Below are 17,459 nucleotides of genomic sequence, written 5' to 3'. Positions count from 1 at the left end.
TGTGCTGAATTTCTAGGTGGAGGATGGTGAGGACAATGACAGAAGACAGGAAGAATTTAAAACATGATATTCAAAGAGATAAATGACAGAGAATTTTCCAGAATTATAAAAGAAAGAACCAGAAAGCTTGGTAAGTCTCCAGCAGAATAAAATGAAATTCACACCTAGAAATAGGTCTAGAAGCACATAGCAACTGTTATTAACTAACGTAGGAAAAAATGGAATTATGAAAAATAGGTAAAGAAATACACATAATTGTAAAATTCATTTTTATAAAAATGTCTTTTAAAATTTGTTTTAAGGGGTAGAGGAAAAAACATGGAAATAAGACAAAAACAATAAGAAGAAATGTGATCTGAGTAAGTATAAGGCAGTCTAGGATGAAGAAGAAAAACAAGAAGGAGAAGAAAGAAAAGGTCTCACTCTGTCATCCAGGCTGGAGTACAGTGGCACAATCATAGCTCACTGAAACCTCTGCCTCCTGACTTCAAGAGATTCTCGTGCCTCAGCCTCCCGAGTAATAGAGACTACAGGCATGCACCAACATGCCTGGCTAATTTTTGTATTTTTAGTAGAGATGCAGTTTCACCACGTTGGCCAGGCTGGTCTCAAACTCCTAATCTCAAGTGATCCTTCTACCTTGTCCTCTGTAAGTGCTGGGATTACAGGTGTGAACCACCATGGCCAGCTGGAAAATTCTTTCTTTGAGAAAGATGGCAAAAAAAAAAGGAAAAAAAAGCTGGGCGTAGCGGCTCACACCTGTAATCCCAGTACTTTGGGAGGCTGAGGCGGGGGGATCACTTGAGGTCAGGAGTTCGAGACCAGCCTAGCCAACATGGTGAGACCCCATCTCTACTAAAAATACAAAAATTAGCCAGGCATGGTGGCACGCACCTGTAACCCCAACCTACTCCAGAGGCTGGGGCACAAGAATCGCTTGAACCCAGTAGTTGGAGGCTGCAGTGAGCCGAGATGGTGCCACTGCACTCCAGCCTGGGGGACAGAGTGAGACTCCATCTCAAAAAAAAAGATGGCAAAAAAGACAAAAAATAAAACAGAACCATGGTGGCAAATTACTTTAAAGCGTCAAAATTTAAATATCTGTATGTACATCTAACAAAATATCTACAGATATTCTACAATTAACTTAGGAAAATATGTCAAAAAATGTAAGGCTATGTTAGCCATAACTCAAAGAAGGATAAAAAGGACCTCAGCCTGGAAATTAGAAGGAAGAAAGCTGTGATATAATTTATAATAGGAAGCTCTGCAACACAGCTTAGATACAACTATTTTCCAAACAAATTATCAAAAATTCGTATCAAGAGGTCTATCTTTTACACCAATAAATCTCTGTGTACGACAAGTTACCTAAAGTACTAACATGACAAAAAAGCTTTTTAGGGTTGGGTGTGGTGGCTCATGCCTGTAATCCCAGCACTTTGGGGGGCTAAGGCAGGTGGATCACTTGAGGTCAGCAGTCCAAGATCAGCCTGGCCAACATAGTGAAACCCCGTCTCTATTAAAAATAGATAAATTAGCCAGGCATGGTGGCGGGTGCCTATAATCCAAGCTACTGGGGAGGCTGAGGCAGGAGAATCGCTTGAACCCAGGAGGTGGAGTTTGCAGTAAGACAAGATCACGAGATCGCTCCACCGCACCCCAGTCTGGGCAACAGGGTGACACTGTCTCAAAAAATTAAAAAAAAAAAAAAAAATAGGCAGGGCATGGTGGCTCACGCCTGTAATCCAAGCACTTTGGCAGGCCGAGGTGGGCAGATCACAAGGTCAGGAGTTTGAGACCAGCTTGGCCAATATAGTGAAACCTGTCTCTACTAAAAATACAAAAATTAGCTGGGTGTGGTGGCACGTGCCTGTAGTCCCAGCTACTCGGGGGAGCCGAGGCAGAAGAATCGCTTGAATCCAGGAGGCGGAGCTTGCAGTGAGCCGAGATGGCGCCACTGCACTCCAGCCTAGGCAACAGAGCGAGACTCCATCTCAAAAAAAAAAAAAAATTAAAAATAGTAAAGTTTTTTAGATATTTGAATATTTTCCCAAAAATATTGCAATAGACACCAAGCTCCAGTGATCATATCAGAGCCTTATCTCCTGTTTTTCAAAGGTCTATATATCAAATAGCACCAAGAATATTTCTCAAACAGAATCATACCATTCTTGCATGATTTAGAAAAACTCAGAGAATGGTATAGGTTGAGTACCCCTTATCTGACATGCTTGGGAACAGGAGCATTTCAGGTTTCAGACTTCTTTGGCTTTTGGAATATTTACATATACATAATAAGCTATCTTGATAGGAACCAAGTCTAAACATGAAATTCTGCCGGGCGCGATGGCTCACGCCTGTAATCCCAGTACTTTGGGAGGCCAAGGCGGGTGGATCACCTGAGGTCAGGAGTTCGAGACCAGCCTGACCAACATGGAGAAGCCCTGTCTCTACTAAAAATACAAAATTAGCTAGGCGTTGTGGCACATGCCTGTAATCCCAGCTACTTGGAAGGCTGAGGCAGGAGAATCGCTTGAACCTGGGAGGCGGAGGTTGCAGTGAACTGAGATCACGCCATTGCACTCCAGCCTGGGCAATAAGGGCAAAGCTCCGCCTCAAAAAAAAAAAAAAAAGAAAGAAAATAACTTACGTTTCATATGCACCTTACACATATAGCCTGAAGGTAATTTGATACAGTATTTTTGTTAATTTTGTGCATGAAACAGTTTGTGTTATTTATGTGTGGAATTTTCCACTTGTGGCATCATGTCAGCACTCAAAAAGTTCTGAATTTTGTTTTGGGGGTTTTATTTGGGGGTGGGGAGAGCAGGCAGCCTCCAGAGCTAGAGTAAGCTCAAACAGGCTCCAAATTTTAGATTTTGGAGCATTTTGGATTTTGGATTTTCGGATTAGGAATGCTCAACCTGTAATACAATGTGGTTAGAAGCAAGGCTGCATTAAGACAAATTAAGAACACTAATGCCATATTAACCCAAAGTGTACTGCAAAAAAAGATTGTTTAGATGTTTATTCAAATATCTGCCTAGAAAAAATACTTCAGACACAAGGAAATTTTACTATAAAAATGTGTTAATATGTATACAAACTATACTTTTATCATCCCACAAAATCATATGCTACTTATAGCATATGCCCAACACACATGAATAAAACACTCAACCAAAAGAATACTACTACAGGGTCAAACACTAGGGCTGATCTTTTTACATGGTAGATGTATCATCTTATAAAGAGATTTAAAGCCACTTATGCCACTCAGATATCAAATACATCCACTTCTAAATTTTGGGAATCTGTCTAGTTCCTTTAAAGATTTATAGACTGTAGGAAAATAAGTCTTGCTGAGTAACACAAACTGCTTGCTCAGTAAGCACCAATTTCCCAGGAATGACAATATCTAACAAATGAGAATTTAAAAAGACCATCAAAGTTAATAATGTGTGCATGGATTTCCACTACTTTGTGGCAAATCATTCCTGAGGGAATAGTCTTATCTCTATTCTCATTTGAAAATAAGGATTTATTCAATTACAGAAAATAATTTTATTAATTTAAAATTTTGCTGCACCACAAATTGAAACAAGCATATGAATGAATTCCATATAATAGAACCTATTTTAATAATCTCTTATAAAATTAACTAAAAATATATTCTGTTCAGAGGAGATGAAATGAGTTTGAGAAGGGCAGAGAGATATAAACAGGAAAATCACAAATTCTAGACAAGAGACGCTAAAGACCATAGTGTTACAGATTTACTAAGTTCTCAGATATGACATGAAAGGCACAACTGATAAAATAAAAAAAAAAAGATAATTGGACTTCATCCAAACTGAAAGGATGAAAGGATAAGCCATGGATGAAATGAAAATACTTGAAAATCATATATCCAACAAATGACTTGTATCCAGAGTATGTAAAGAACTATCTAAACTCAACAGTAATTAGCAAAAGACATAAGGGACATTTCACCAAAGAAGACATACGGATTTCAAATGAACACATAAAAATATGTTCATTTTTAGGAATTGTGAAAGGAGTGGTACTAAAGAAAACTATGAGATAAAAATCTAATCTCCAAAAACTGAAAGGTAGTAACTAAGAAAGAAAGGCAGCAACAAAGAGAAAGGAAGTAACATTCCAAAAAGAGGATGAGGACATAGGGGATTTTGCAGATGATGGATAATGACTTCCGAGGGGGCCCTGTCAGAAAGTTTCTGGAGTTGGAGTAGGTATTTCAGAGAGTGGGGGAATGAAGAGAGAGATGGAGATTGAAAAGTGAATGCCACATGGAGAGAGGGTGAGAATGAGAAATAACCTGTGAGTTTTTAAGTTTCTTTTTTTCCTTTTCTTTTTGGAGACAGAGTCGCGCTCTGTCACCCAGGCTGGAGTGCACTGGCATGATCTCAGCTCACTACAAACTCCACTTCCTGGATTCAAGCGATTTTCATGCCTCAGCCTCCCGAGTAGCTGGGATTACAGGCGCCCACCACCACACCCGGCCCATTTTTTGTAATTTTAGTAGAGGTGGGGTTTTGCCATGTTGGCCAGGCTGGTCTCCAACTCTTGGCCTCAAGTGATTTGTCTGCCTTGTCCTCCCAAAGTGCTGGGATTACAGGCATGAGGCACCACGCTGGGCCAAGTTTTGAGTTTGTTGTGGTGATTGAGGTAAACAAGAGTAAAGAACATAAGGAACTTAGTGGCCATAGTCTCATAACAGTAGTGGCAAAGCTTTTTTAAGTATAGTAGTAGAGGAAGAGAATAAGGTGGTGATGGGAAAGACACCAAGAGTTCTGCAGCCATTTTTTCCCTACTGCCAGTGGTAGCATGGAAGTCACGGAGCTGCCTCCTGATACTTGCTGATTTTAGCCATTTCGTCAGTGAAATATATATATACACATATATACACACGCACACACACATATATGTGTATATACTTTACTTCATTTGTTTTTTTTTTTTTTTTGAGATGGAGTTCTCACTCTTGTTGCCCAGCGTGGAGTGCAGTGGCACAATCTCAGCTCACCGCAACCTCCGCCTCCTGGGTTCAAGCAATTCTCCTGCCTAAGCCTCCCGAGTAGCTAGGATTACAGGCATGTAACTCCACGCCCAGCTAATTTTGTATTTTTAGTAGAGATGGGGTTTCTCTGTGTTGGTCAGGCTAATCTGTAACTCCTGACCTCAAGTGATCCACCCACCTCAGCCTCCCAAAGTGTTGGGATTACATGCGTGAGCAACCATGCCTTTTTTTTTTTTTTTTTTTTGAGACGGAGTCTCACTCTATCACCCAGGCTGGAGTACAGTGGTGCGATCTCGGCTCACTGCAATCTCCATCTCCCAGGTTCAAGCGATTCTCCGGCCTCAGCCTCCTGAGTAGCTGGGATTACAGGTGCACGCCACCATGCCTGGCTAATTTTTGTATTTTTAGTAGAGATGGGTTTTCACTATGTTGGTCAGGCTAGTCTCGAACTCCTGACCTTGTGATCCGCCAGCCTCGGTCTCCCAAAGTGCTGGGATTACAGGCGTGAGCCACCGCGCACAGCCATTTGTTCTTATATTGTTATAAGATAGGTTAAAGAAGGACATTAGTTACATTTGGAAAACTAATATTAATGTATAAAGGTTAAACAACTAATGTGAGATATTATACTGGCATTTTCAAAAATATGAATAAAATACCAACAGCTGATATTAGCTCTATATATGGAGTCATTCTGATTAGAGAGTATACATATACATCTATACACACACACACAGATTACTTTAAAAGTACAAAACTGAGTCAATACTGTTATGATGAATTTAAAACATTAACAAACTGTGAAGCACGACTTTATACAAAGAAAATTTCTCAGGGCAAAATACTGTATGTATTTCCCATACAGAGGGAAATAAGTCTCTCTTTAAATTCTTCACTCAAAACTTTGCTTTTAATCTCTAATTCACAATTCTAATTTTTTATTTCCAATCCAATAAAGACTGCATGTTCTGTTTCTCTCATTTGCATCTTTCTCCTCTCCACTTTGAGCACTGAGTACAAAGAATTAGACCATTCATAATTCTTGGTTCATTTCTTCTCAATGAATGCATGGACCTCTTCTTTATACTTTAATAATAAACACCTATGACCCCCTCATCCATAAGAAGTAAAACACTGCCAAAAACTTTCATTTACTTATATAGACTCATACATCCCAAACCCTACTACCCACTGCCAGGTAGTCAGTATCCTATAATTTGTGCGGATCATTCCTTTGCACACACGGTTTTTGTTTTCCTTCTTTTAATATTAGAAGGTTTTTATTAGTGTGTCTGGTTGTTACTGCTAACTATAAATTTACATAAATTCACTTGGCCTCAAATTAGATTATTTCCATGTTCTACAAATGAAAAAAAAAAAGAAATTCTGAAATATTCCCAAGGTAAACCTATATATACATAAAAACTGCAAAGTACAGTAACAACAACAAGAGAAAAAAATTCAGTGAAAACTAGGTTAAACTAAACAGTAGATGCCAAAAAGATAGTTTAAATGATAACATGGAGGCCCACACTTCTTGTTGTTAAGACTAAAAGCATCATGGGGAAAGAAAAAAATGATGCCAGACTCTGAAAGGCAAGAATCATAGTAGTCCCTTGTTGATAGTTAAGAGGAGAAGGAAAGTTTAAGACTCCTTTACCTATTCATGAGATCAAAAGAAATAAAGGAATCCCTTGGTGTTTTTATCACTTTCTTTTGCTACTGCATCTAGCACCCGAGAGAAAAAAAACCCCACAATTAATGCTATGATACCTCCAGAAATTTCTCTATAATGCCTGCATCTTTCAAAGTGTTTGAAACTTAACTTCTCCAAAGATACATTAAAATTTTTAAACTGTCTTACAAATGAAATTCAATTTGAAATTTATTTTTTTCTTTATTTATAAAAACTCACATAGGACTTTTACTACATGCCAAGCGCTATCCTAAGCACTCTTAAGTCATCCAAAACAAGGAACTAAGGCAAAATGCTGAACCTCTGCAGCAGATCAGATTTACCCTCCTGCCAGGAAAACTTAAGAAACAGATAAAATATATAAAAAACAGTTTCAGACATCCAACAACACGCAGCCCAGGACAGTGATCCTTGAGACAAGGGAAACAATTGATGTGAGCCCTGTGAATGCCCCAACTTACCACTCATTCATTTGAGTATTGTCAATGGCTGCTTTTGCCCAATAGGGCAGAGATGAATAGTGGAATAGTCAGGACAGATGGCCCACAAGCCTAAAATACTATCTAGCTCTCTTAAGAAAATGTCTACAGACCCCTGCTCTAGACTAATGGCTATTCTAGGAATACCTAACAAAGAGTAAGAGAAAGTATTGAAAGAATAAAATTATTGCCAAGTAGTTTAACTGTGTCCCAGGACAAAACCAAAAATATTTAAAGGAATACAAAATAGTCCTGAGCAACACAAAATTCAAAATGTGTGGCATCCAAACAAAAATTTTAAGTCATGCAAAGAAGCAGGAATAGATACAACCCATAATAAGGAGAAAAATCAATCAACAGAATCAAATTAGATAACCACATTAAAATTCCTATGATAAACATATTCCATTTATTCAAGGAGAGGAAAGTGAACATGTCTCCAGGCACATGGAAGATCTCTGTCTCTGCACACACACATGCACATGTACACGCAAATTGTAAGTGAAAAATGCAGTGTCTGAGAGAAAAAAATACACTGGATGGGTTAACAACATTAGATACTGCAGAAAAAAAACATGAAGAAACATGAAGAGGCACCAATAGAAACTACTGGAACAAGAGGGGAGGGAAAGACTTCAAAAGTGATCAGAGCATCAGTGAGTTGTGAAACGACATCAAGTGAGCTAAAATCCATGCAGAGGAAGGAAAGAAAATATTTTAATACGGTTTGTAAAAGGCATTGTAAAGAAAATAAGAAGACAAGCCATAGGTAGAAGATATTTCCAAAAGCCTTATCTGATAAAGGACTATTATCTAAAACACACAACGAACATAACAGTAAGGCCGGGCAAAGTGGCTCACACCTGTAAATCCAACATTTTGGGAGACCAAGGCAGGCCAATCACTTAAGTGCAGGTGTTCGAGACCAGCCTGGGAAATACGGTGAGAACCTGTCTCCAAAAAAATACAAAAATTAGCCAGGCATGGTGGCGTGCGCCTGTGGTCCCAACTACTTGGGACACTGAGGCAGGAGGATCACGTGACCCTGGGAGGCAGAGGCAACTGTGAGCCATGATCACGCCACTGCTTTCCAGCCTGGACAACAGGATGAGACCCTGTCTCAAGAATAAATAAAAAAAAACTCAACAATAAGAAAAAAACCTGATGAAAAAATAGGTTAAAGACCTCAACAGTTGGCTGGGTGTGGTGGCTCATGCCTATAATCCCAGTACTTTGTGAGGCTGAGATAGGCAGATGGTTTGAGTCCGAGAGTTTAAGACCACCCTGGGCAACACGGCAAAACCCCATCTCTACAAAAAATACAAAAATCAGCCAGATGTGGCGGTGCTTGCCTATAGTCTCAGCTACTTGGGAAGGCTGAGTTGGGAGGACTGCCCGAGCCTGGGAGGTCAAGGCTGCAGCGAGCCATGATAATACCTCTGCATTTCAGCCCTGGTGACAGAGTGAGACCCTGTCCCAAAAAAAAAAAAAAAAAAAAAAGGACCTGAAGAGTCAGATAATACAAAATAAAGGAGATAATACATGACAAATAAGCATATTTAAAGATATTCCACATCATATGTCATTAGAGAATTGCAAGTTTAAACAACAAGATACTAATGCACAGCTATTAGAATAGTCAAATTTCAGAACACTGACACCACCAAATGGTGGCAAAGATGCAAGCTACACAACTCTTGTTCATTGCTGGTGGAAATACTAAACAATACAGCCACTTTGGAAGATAGCTTTGCAGTATCTTACAAAACTAAACATACTTTTACCATACAATGCCAAAAGCATGCTCCTTGATATTTACCCAAATAAGTTGAAGACTCATTTTCAAATTTGGGTCAGAATCATTAAGCTTACATGAAACTTACTTGCTTCACGTTAAGCCCCCCTTTTTTTTTCTGAGACTGAGTCTCACTCTGTTGCCCAGGCTGGAGTGCAGTGGCGCGATCTCAGCTCACTGCAACTTCCACCTCCCAGGTTCAAGCGATTCTCCTGCCTCAGCCTCCTGAGTAGCTGGAACACACACCACCACACCCAGTTAATTTTTGTATTTTTGCTAGAGACAGGGTTTTGCCATGTTGGCTAGGCTGGTCTCGAACTCCTGACCTCGAGTGATCCACCAACCTCAGCCTCCCAAAGAGCTGGGATTACAGGTGTAAGCCACCATGCCCAGCCTATGTTAAGCCTTTTTAAAGATATCCGTCACTCAAATGGGATCTAATTGGCTTCTGCAAAGCAAAAGAAACTACCATCAGAGTCAACAGGCAACCTACAGAATGGGAGAAAATATTTGCAATCTACCCATCTGACAAAGGGCTAATATCCAGAATCTACAAAGAACTTAAACAAATTTTCAAGAAAAAATCAAACAACCCCATCAAAAAGTGGGCAAAGGATATGAACAGACCCTTCTCAAAAGAAGACATTTATGCAGCCAACAGACACGTGAAAAAATGCTCATCATCACTGGCCATCAGAGAAATGCAAATCAAAACCACAATGAGATACCATCTCACACCAGTTAGAATGGCGATCATTAAAAAGTCAGGAAACAACAGGTGCTGGAGAGGATGTGGAGAAATAGGAACACTTTTACACTGTTGGTGGAAGCATAAACTAGTTCAACCATTGTGGAAGACAGTGTGGCGATTCCTCAAGGATCTAGAACTAGAAATAGCATTTGACCCAGCCATCCCATTACTGGGTATATACCCAAAGGATTATAAATCATGCTGCTATAAAGACACATGCACACGTATGTTTATTGCGGCACTATTCACAAGAGCAAAGACTTGGAACCAACCCAAATGTCCATCAATGATAGACTGGATTAAGAAAACGTGGCACATATATACCATGGAATACTATGCAGCCATAAAAAAGGATGAGCTCATGTCCTTTGTAGGGACATGGATGAAGCTGGAAACCATCATTCTGAGCAAACTATCATCACAAGGACAGAAAACCAAACACTGCATGTTCTCACTCATAGTTGGGAACTGAACAATGAGAACACTTGGACACAGGGTGGGGGACCATCACACACTGGGGCCTGTCGTGGGATAGGGGGACAGGGGAGGGATAGCATTAGGAGATATACCTAATGTAAATGACGAGTTAATGGGTGCAGCACACCAACATGGCACATGTATACATATGTAACAAACCTGCACGTTGTGCACATATACCCTAGAATTTAAAGTATAATTAAAAAAAAAAGATACCCGTCACTAATCCTTTTGATGCACTTTTAATAGTTTATTCCAAGTTTTGTGAAAGGGAACCAACGTTTCTTTTAAAAGTTTGATTTGATTTAAGGTAAAGGAAATTTAAGTAGACTATTGCTGTCTTTGCAACATACTTTATCCTGACAACTTAAAATTAAAATGTAGTAATGTAGGAGAACGGCTTTTCTACGTATTGGTCTCCATACCGGCAATTTCCATTGCATTTCACCCTTAGTCTAGACAACCCAAATATAATAATGACACTGAAATAATTGAAGCTATTTTAGACCTTAAAAATGAAAAAAAAATAGAAACGAAGCTACTTTTTACATCATGTGATGTGGTAAAAGCGTTTCTCAGTTGTAATGTAAAAACCATATACTGGGAGACCATGAGATCTAAGTAAGGTGAGCTTTCAAATACAAATTTCAGTTTGGGGGCTGGGCGTGGTGGTTTACCGCTGTAACCCCAGCACTTTGGGAGGCCAAGGCAGGCAGATCACCTGAAGTCAGGAGTTCAAGAGCAGCCATGGCAAAACCCTGTCTCTACTAAAGATACAAAAATTAGGTAGGCGTGGTGGCACACACCTGTAATCCCAGCTACTTGGGAGGCTGAGGTTGTAGTGAGCCAAGATCGTGCCACTGCCCTCCAGCCTGCGTGACAGAGTGAGACCCTGTCTCAAAAAAAAAAAAAAAAAAAAAAAAAAAAAAACAAATTTCAGTTTTAGGTTCAAGATCGCTGACTACTGCAGATAGTATGCACCTCCTCCACAGAGAGGAACCAAAATAGCAAGTAAATATTCACACTTCAAATAGACCGTCTAAGAGAGAATACTGGGGCCAGGTGCAGTGGCTCATGCCTGTCACTTTGGGAGGCCGAAGCAGGCAGATCACGAGGTCAGGAGATCGAGACCATCCTGGCCAACACAGTGAAACCTTGTCTCTACTAAAAATACAAAAATTAGCTAGGAGTGGTGGCAGATGCCTGTAATCCCAGCTACTCGGGAGGCTGAGGCAAGAAAATCGTTTCAACCAGGGAGTCGGAGGTTGCAGTGAGCCGAGATCACGCCACTGCACTCCAGCCTGGTGACAAGGCAAGACTCTGTCTCAAAAAAAAAAAAAAAAAAAAAAAAAAAAAAAAAAAAAGAGGGAACACTGGGATGAGAGAGGCGATGGCAAGGACTAAAAGCAAGTAACAAGTAAGGAGAGAGAAGCTGGGATGGACTATGAACTGGGGAAAGCTCATGGACAGAGAAAAAGGGTGAGACAGATCCCCAAGGCTCCACGTGCCCACCACAGTGTTTCATGATCCTAATTACACGAGAACCCCTTGACCCATACAGGCCTCAAGACTAACATACGGAACTGACTACAGACTGCACAGAAGCATTGCTGCAGAGAGAGAACTTGAACTCCCACAGGCTTTCAAGCCCTGAACAGCTGCAGCTTGGCACCATTCTAAGAACCAAACTTGGACTGGGAATGGTGGCTCACACCTATAATCCCAGCACTTTGGGAGGCCGAGGTGGGCTTATCCTGAGGTCAGGAGTTCGAGACCAGCCTGGCCAACATGGTGAAACCCTGTCTCTACTAAAAATACAAAAATTAGCTGGGCATGGTGGCGGGCACCTGTAATCCCAGCTACTCAGGAGGCTGAATGGGGAGAATCACTTGAACCTGGGAGATGGAGGTTGCAGTGAGCGGAGATCACACCACTGCACTCCAGCCTGGGCGAAAGGGTGAAACTCCATCTCCAAAAAATAAAAAAAAAATTAAAAAAAATTAAAAACCCAAAGGACTATGTTCTTCCCTGAGGCCACTGGGCCAAGGAGAGAGACAGGAGGCAGGGCACCTTCACACACGCCAAGGACAAATCCCACTGCCACTGCTGCAGGCTGCTGTGGACCAACAGCACAAGCAAACTGCATTCCCCACAACCACCTGCCTAGCTGCTCCTACTGAGGGGGGCCCTCCCCCTTCCCCACGGCAGGCCCACAGCCAGCCTCCAAAGGTCTTTGAACTCCCCTGGGGCTGGAGGTGGGGCTAGGGTTAGGTCTAATGCTGCCTCCAGCACCAGGCCAAGGAGAGAAATGAGGCCAGGCACTTCCATGTGCTTCAAAGACAAAGCCCACCTCCGCTACTGCAGGCTGTTGTATGACCAGAGCACAAGAAAACCACACATCCCACAGCTACCTCCCTACACTGCTCCCACTAAGAGTGGCCTCACTCTCCTCAGTGGCAGGACTGCAGCAAAGACACCACTGCCAACACCTGAGCATTCCACCAGTGGGCTAGGGACCATCCTGCCCCTGCCTATCACAGACATCACCTGAATGCACTACCAAGGGGCCCAAGGACAAGTCTACTCATCCAGCCAGTCTAGTCCCCACAGTAACTGAGCATGTCATCCACGGACTTGGAAATCACCCAGATCAGTACATCACCACTGGCACCTGACCACTCCTCCTGGGGTCTCCAGTTGGGCCAACACAACCTGCCAATACCACCAGAGCTGGCACCCACCACTATGTACCACCATCAAGTCAAAGGACAGACCTGCCTAACTTGTCACAGCCAACACCAGCATAAATCACTTGGGTTCCAGTGCATTGCTCCACCCCTGCTATTGCCACTCATACCAGCTGTCCAGGGGCCTGAGAAGCTGCCCACATGCCTGGCCCACCACTGCTAAACAAGCTATCTGGAGGCCCAAGAATCAGACCACCTAGGCCCGCTGACACTGGTGCCAGTGCAAGCCATCCTGGAGCAGAAAGACAAGCACAATCAGCCTATTACTGCCACCACTGGAACACAAAGAATGACCCACTTGGTGTCCTACTGCCCAGCAAAATTTCACCACAGCCTCCACTAATAACTGCACTCAAAGCTACCATATTAGTCAGGGTTCTCTAGAGGAACAGAATAGGAGATAGATAGATATATAAAAAAGGGGAGTTTACTAAGTGTTAACTCACAGGATCACAAGGTCCCACAATAGGCTGTCTGCAAGGTGAGAAGAAAGGAGAGCCAGTCTGAGTCCCAAAACTGAAGAACCTGGAGTCCGATGTTCGACAGCAGGAAGCATCCAGCATGGGAAAATGATGTAGGCTGGGAGGTTAGGCCAGTCTAGCCTTTTCACGTATTTCTGCCTGCTTTATATTCTAGCTATGCTAGCAGCTAATTAGATGGTGTCCATCCAGATTAAGGGTGGGTCTGCCTTTCCAAGCCCACTGACTCAAATGTTAATCTCCTTTGGCAACACCCTCCCAGACACATCCTTGATCAATACTTCACATCCTTCAATCCAATCAAGTTGACACTCAGTATTAACCATCACAGCTACCAAGGAAATCACAGATACCACTCATATTGTTTACAACCAAAGAAATCATACAGTGCTCACACTAATATATGCACCTAAAATCAAAGTCAAAGCACCCTACCCACAGATGATGGGCACGGTGTCTGACACCTCTCATCTCAGCACTTTGGAAGGCTGAGACAGGATTGCTTGAGGCCAGTAATTTGAGACCAGGCTGGGCAACATAGTGAGATCCTGTTCCTACAAAATATTTAAAACTAGCCAGGTACTGTGGCACATGCCTGTCATTCCAGCTACTCAGAAGGCTGAGGTAGGAGGATCCCTTGAGCCCAAAAGGTCAAAGCTGCAGTGAGCCATGATCACGCCACTGAACTCCAGCCTGGGCAACAGAGTGAGACCCCGTCTCTAAAGAATGTAAATAAATAAATAAATAAATTGGAAGAAGCAACTCGACCATTTAACCAGATGCACAGATATCAATGTAAAGACACTGGACACATGAAAAAGCAAGGAAATAAGAAAGCTCCAAAGGAAAACAATAATTTTCCAGCAACAGAGTCCAATAAAAAAAGATTCATGGCTGGGCACAGTGGCTCACATCTGTAATCCCAGCACTTTGGGAGGCTGAAGAGGGTGGATCACTTGAGGTGAGGAGTTTGACACCAGCCTGGCCAGCATGGTGAAACCCCATTTCTAATAAAAATACAAAAAAATTAGCCGGGAGTGGTGGTGTATGCCTGTAGTCCCAGCTTCCTGAGAGGCTGAGGCAGGAGAATGGCTTGAACACGGGAGGCAGAGGTTGCAGTGAGCCGAGATCACGCCACTGCACTCCAGCCTGGGTGACAGAGCAAGACTCCAACTCAAAAAAAAAAAAAAAAAAAAAAGGACTTCTGAGTTCCAAGATGGCCAAATAGGAACAGGTCCAGTCTGCAGTTCCCAGCATGATCGACGCAGAAGATTGGTGATTTCTGCATTTCCAACTGAGGTACCTGGTTCATCTGGTTGGGACTGGTCAGACAGTGGGTGCAGCCCACGGAGGGCGAGCCGAAGCAGGGTGGGGCATTGCCTCACCCCGGAAGCGCAAAGGGTCGGGGGATTTTTCCTAGCCAAGTGAAGCTGTGACAGACTGCACTGGGAAAATCAGGACACTGCCACCTAAACACTGCGCTTTTCCAACAGTCTTAGCAAACGGCACACCAGGAGGTTATATCCCGTGCCTGGCTCTGCGGGTCCAATGCCCATGGAGCCTTGCTCACTGCTAGAGCAGCAGTCCGAGATCAAACTGCAAGGCAGTAAGCCTGGCTGGGGGAGGGGCATCCGCCATTGCTGAGGCTAGAGTAGGTAAACAAAGCAGCCAGGAAGCTCAAACTGGGTGGAGCCCACCGCAGCTCAACAGGGCCCGCCTGCCTCTGTAGACTCCACCTGTGGGGACAGAGCATAGCTGAACAAAAGGCAGCAGAAACTTCTGCAGACTTAAACGTCCCTGCCCGACAGCTCTCAAGAGAGCAGTGGTTCTCACAGCATGGTGTTTGAGCTCTGAGAAAAGACAGACTGCCTCCTCAAGTGGGTCCCTGACCCCTGTGTAGCCTAACTTGGAGACACCTCCCAGTAGGGGCCGAATGACACCTCATACAGCCGGGTGCCCCTCTGAGACAAAGCTTCCAGAGAAAGGATCAGGCAGCAATATTTGCTGTTCTGCAGCTGCTGCTGGTGGTACCCAGGCAAAGAGGGTCTGGAGTGGACCTCCAGCAAACTCCAACAGACCTGCAGCTGAGGGACCTGACTGTTAGAAGGAAAACTAGCCAACAGAAAGAAATAGCATCAACATCAACAAAAAGGACATCCACATCAAAACCCCATCTGTAGGTCACCATCATCAAAGACCATCAAAGGTAAATAAAACCACAAAGATGGGGAGAAACCAGAGCAGAAAAGCTGAAAATTCTAAAAACCAGAGCGCTTCTTCTCCACCAAAGGATCACAGCTCCTTGCCAGCAACGTAACAAAGCAGGACAGAGAATGACTTTGATGAGCTGACATAAGTAGGCTTCAGAAAGTCGGTAATAATAAACTTCTCCAAGCTAAAGGAGGATGTTCGAACCCATCGCAAGGAAGCTAAAAACCTTGAAAAAAGATTAGACAAATGGCTAACTAGAATAAACAGTGTAAAGAAGACCTTAAATGACCTGATGGAGCTGAAAACCATGGCACGAGAACTACGTGACACATGCACATGCTTCAGTAGCCGATTCGATCTAATGGAAGAAAGGATATCAGTGATTGAAGATCAAATTAATGAAATGAAGTGAGAAGTTTAGAGAAAAAAGAGTAAAATGAAACAAACAAAGCCTCCAAGAAATATAGGACTATGTGAAAAGACCAAATCTACGTTTGATTGGTGTATCTGAAAGCGACAGGAGAATGGAACCAAGCTGGAAAACACTCTTCAGGATATTATCCAGGAGAACTCCCCCAACATAGCAAGGCAGGCCAACATTCAAATTCAGGAAATACAGAGAACACCACAAAGATACTCCTCAAGAAGAGCAACCCCAAGACACATAATTGTCAGATTCACCAAGGATGAAATGAAGGAAAAAATGTTTAGGGCAGCCAGAGAGAAAGGTCAAGTTACCCACAAAGGGAAGCCCATCAGACTAACAGCTGATCTCTCAGCAGAAACTCTACAAGCCAGAAGAGAGTGGGGGCCAATATTCAACATTTTTAAAGAAAAGAATTTTCAACCCAGAATTTCATATCCAGCCAAACTAAGCTTCATAAGTGAAGGAGAAATAAAATCCTTTACAGACAAGCAAATGCTGAGAGATTTTGTCACCACCAGGCCTGCCTTACAAGAGCTCCTGAAGGAATCACTAAACATAGAAAGGAACAACCGGTACCAGCCACTGCAAAAAGATGCCAAATTGTAAAGACTGCCAATGCTAGGAAGAAATGGCATCAACTAATGGGCAAAATAACTAGCTAACATCATAATGACAGGATCATATTCACACATAACAATATTAACCTTAAATGTAAATGGGCTAAATGCCCCCATGAAAAGACACAGACTGGCAAAGTGGATAGAGAGTCAAGACCTATCAGTGTGCTATATTCAGGAGACCCAGCTCACATGCAGAGACGCATATAGGCTCAAAATAACGGGATGGAGGAAGTTCTACCAAGCAAATGGAAAGCAAAAAAAAGCAGGGGTTGCAATCCTAGGCTCTGATAAAACAGACTTTAAACCAACAAATCAAAAGAGACAAGGCCATTACTTAATGGTAAAGGGAACAATTCAACAAGAAGAGCTAACTATTCTAAATATATATGCACCCAATACAGGAGTGCTCAGATTCATAAAGCAAGTCCTTAGAGACCTACAAAGAGACTTAGACTCCCACACAATAATAATGGGAGACTTTAACACCCCGCTGTCAATATTAGACAGATCAATGAGACAGAAGGTTAATAAGGATATGCAGGACTTGAACTCAGCTCTGCACCAAGCAGACCTAATAGACATCTACAGAAATCTCCACCCCAAATCAACAGAATGTACATTGTTCTCAGCACCACATCGCACTTATTCCAAAACTGACCACATAATTGGAAGTAAAGCACTCCTCAGCAAATATAGAAGAACAGAAATCACAACAAACTGTCTCTCAGACCAC

The 17,459-nt window shown here is 42.4% G+C and overlaps 1 protein-coding gene across 8 annotated transcripts in view, besides 2 other annotated features; it reads right to left on the bottom strand.

Annotated features, from left to right (window-relative positions):
• Positions 1 to 17,459, bottom strand: part of BCAS3 (BCAS3 microtubule associated cell migration factor) — a 714,981-nt gene that overhangs the window by 610,825 nt on the left and 86,697 nt on the right. The window lies entirely within an intron of this gene.
• Positions 14,500 to 14,999: an enhancer, noted in NCBI's record as "H3K4me1 hESC enhancer chr17:58844369-58844868 (GRCh37/hg19 assembly coordinates)". NCBI's record gives its function as "activates a minimal SCP1, AML or CMV promoter by ChIP-STARR-seq in naive H9 embryonic stem cells {active_cell/tissue: H9 hESC(naive)}" and the evidence as "EXISTENCE:reporter gene assay evidence [ECO:0000049][PMID:30033119]".
• Positions 15,000 to 15,501: an enhancer, noted in NCBI's record as "H3K4me1 hESC enhancer chr17:58843867-58844368 (GRCh37/hg19 assembly coordinates)". NCBI's record gives its function as "activates a minimal SCP1, AML or CMV promoter by ChIP-STARR-seq in naive H9 embryonic stem cells {active_cell/tissue: H9 hESC(naive)}" and the evidence as "EXISTENCE:reporter gene assay evidence [ECO:0000049][PMID:30033119]".

This window comes from Homo sapiens, chromosome 17, assembly GCF_000001405.40.
Source record: "Homo sapiens chromosome 17, GRCh38.p14 Primary Assembly".
NCBI classification, from domain to species: Eukaryota; Metazoa; Chordata; class Mammalia; order Primates; family Hominidae; genus Homo; species Homo sapiens.
This window is presented reverse-complemented; position numbering and strand designations above follow the sequence as displayed.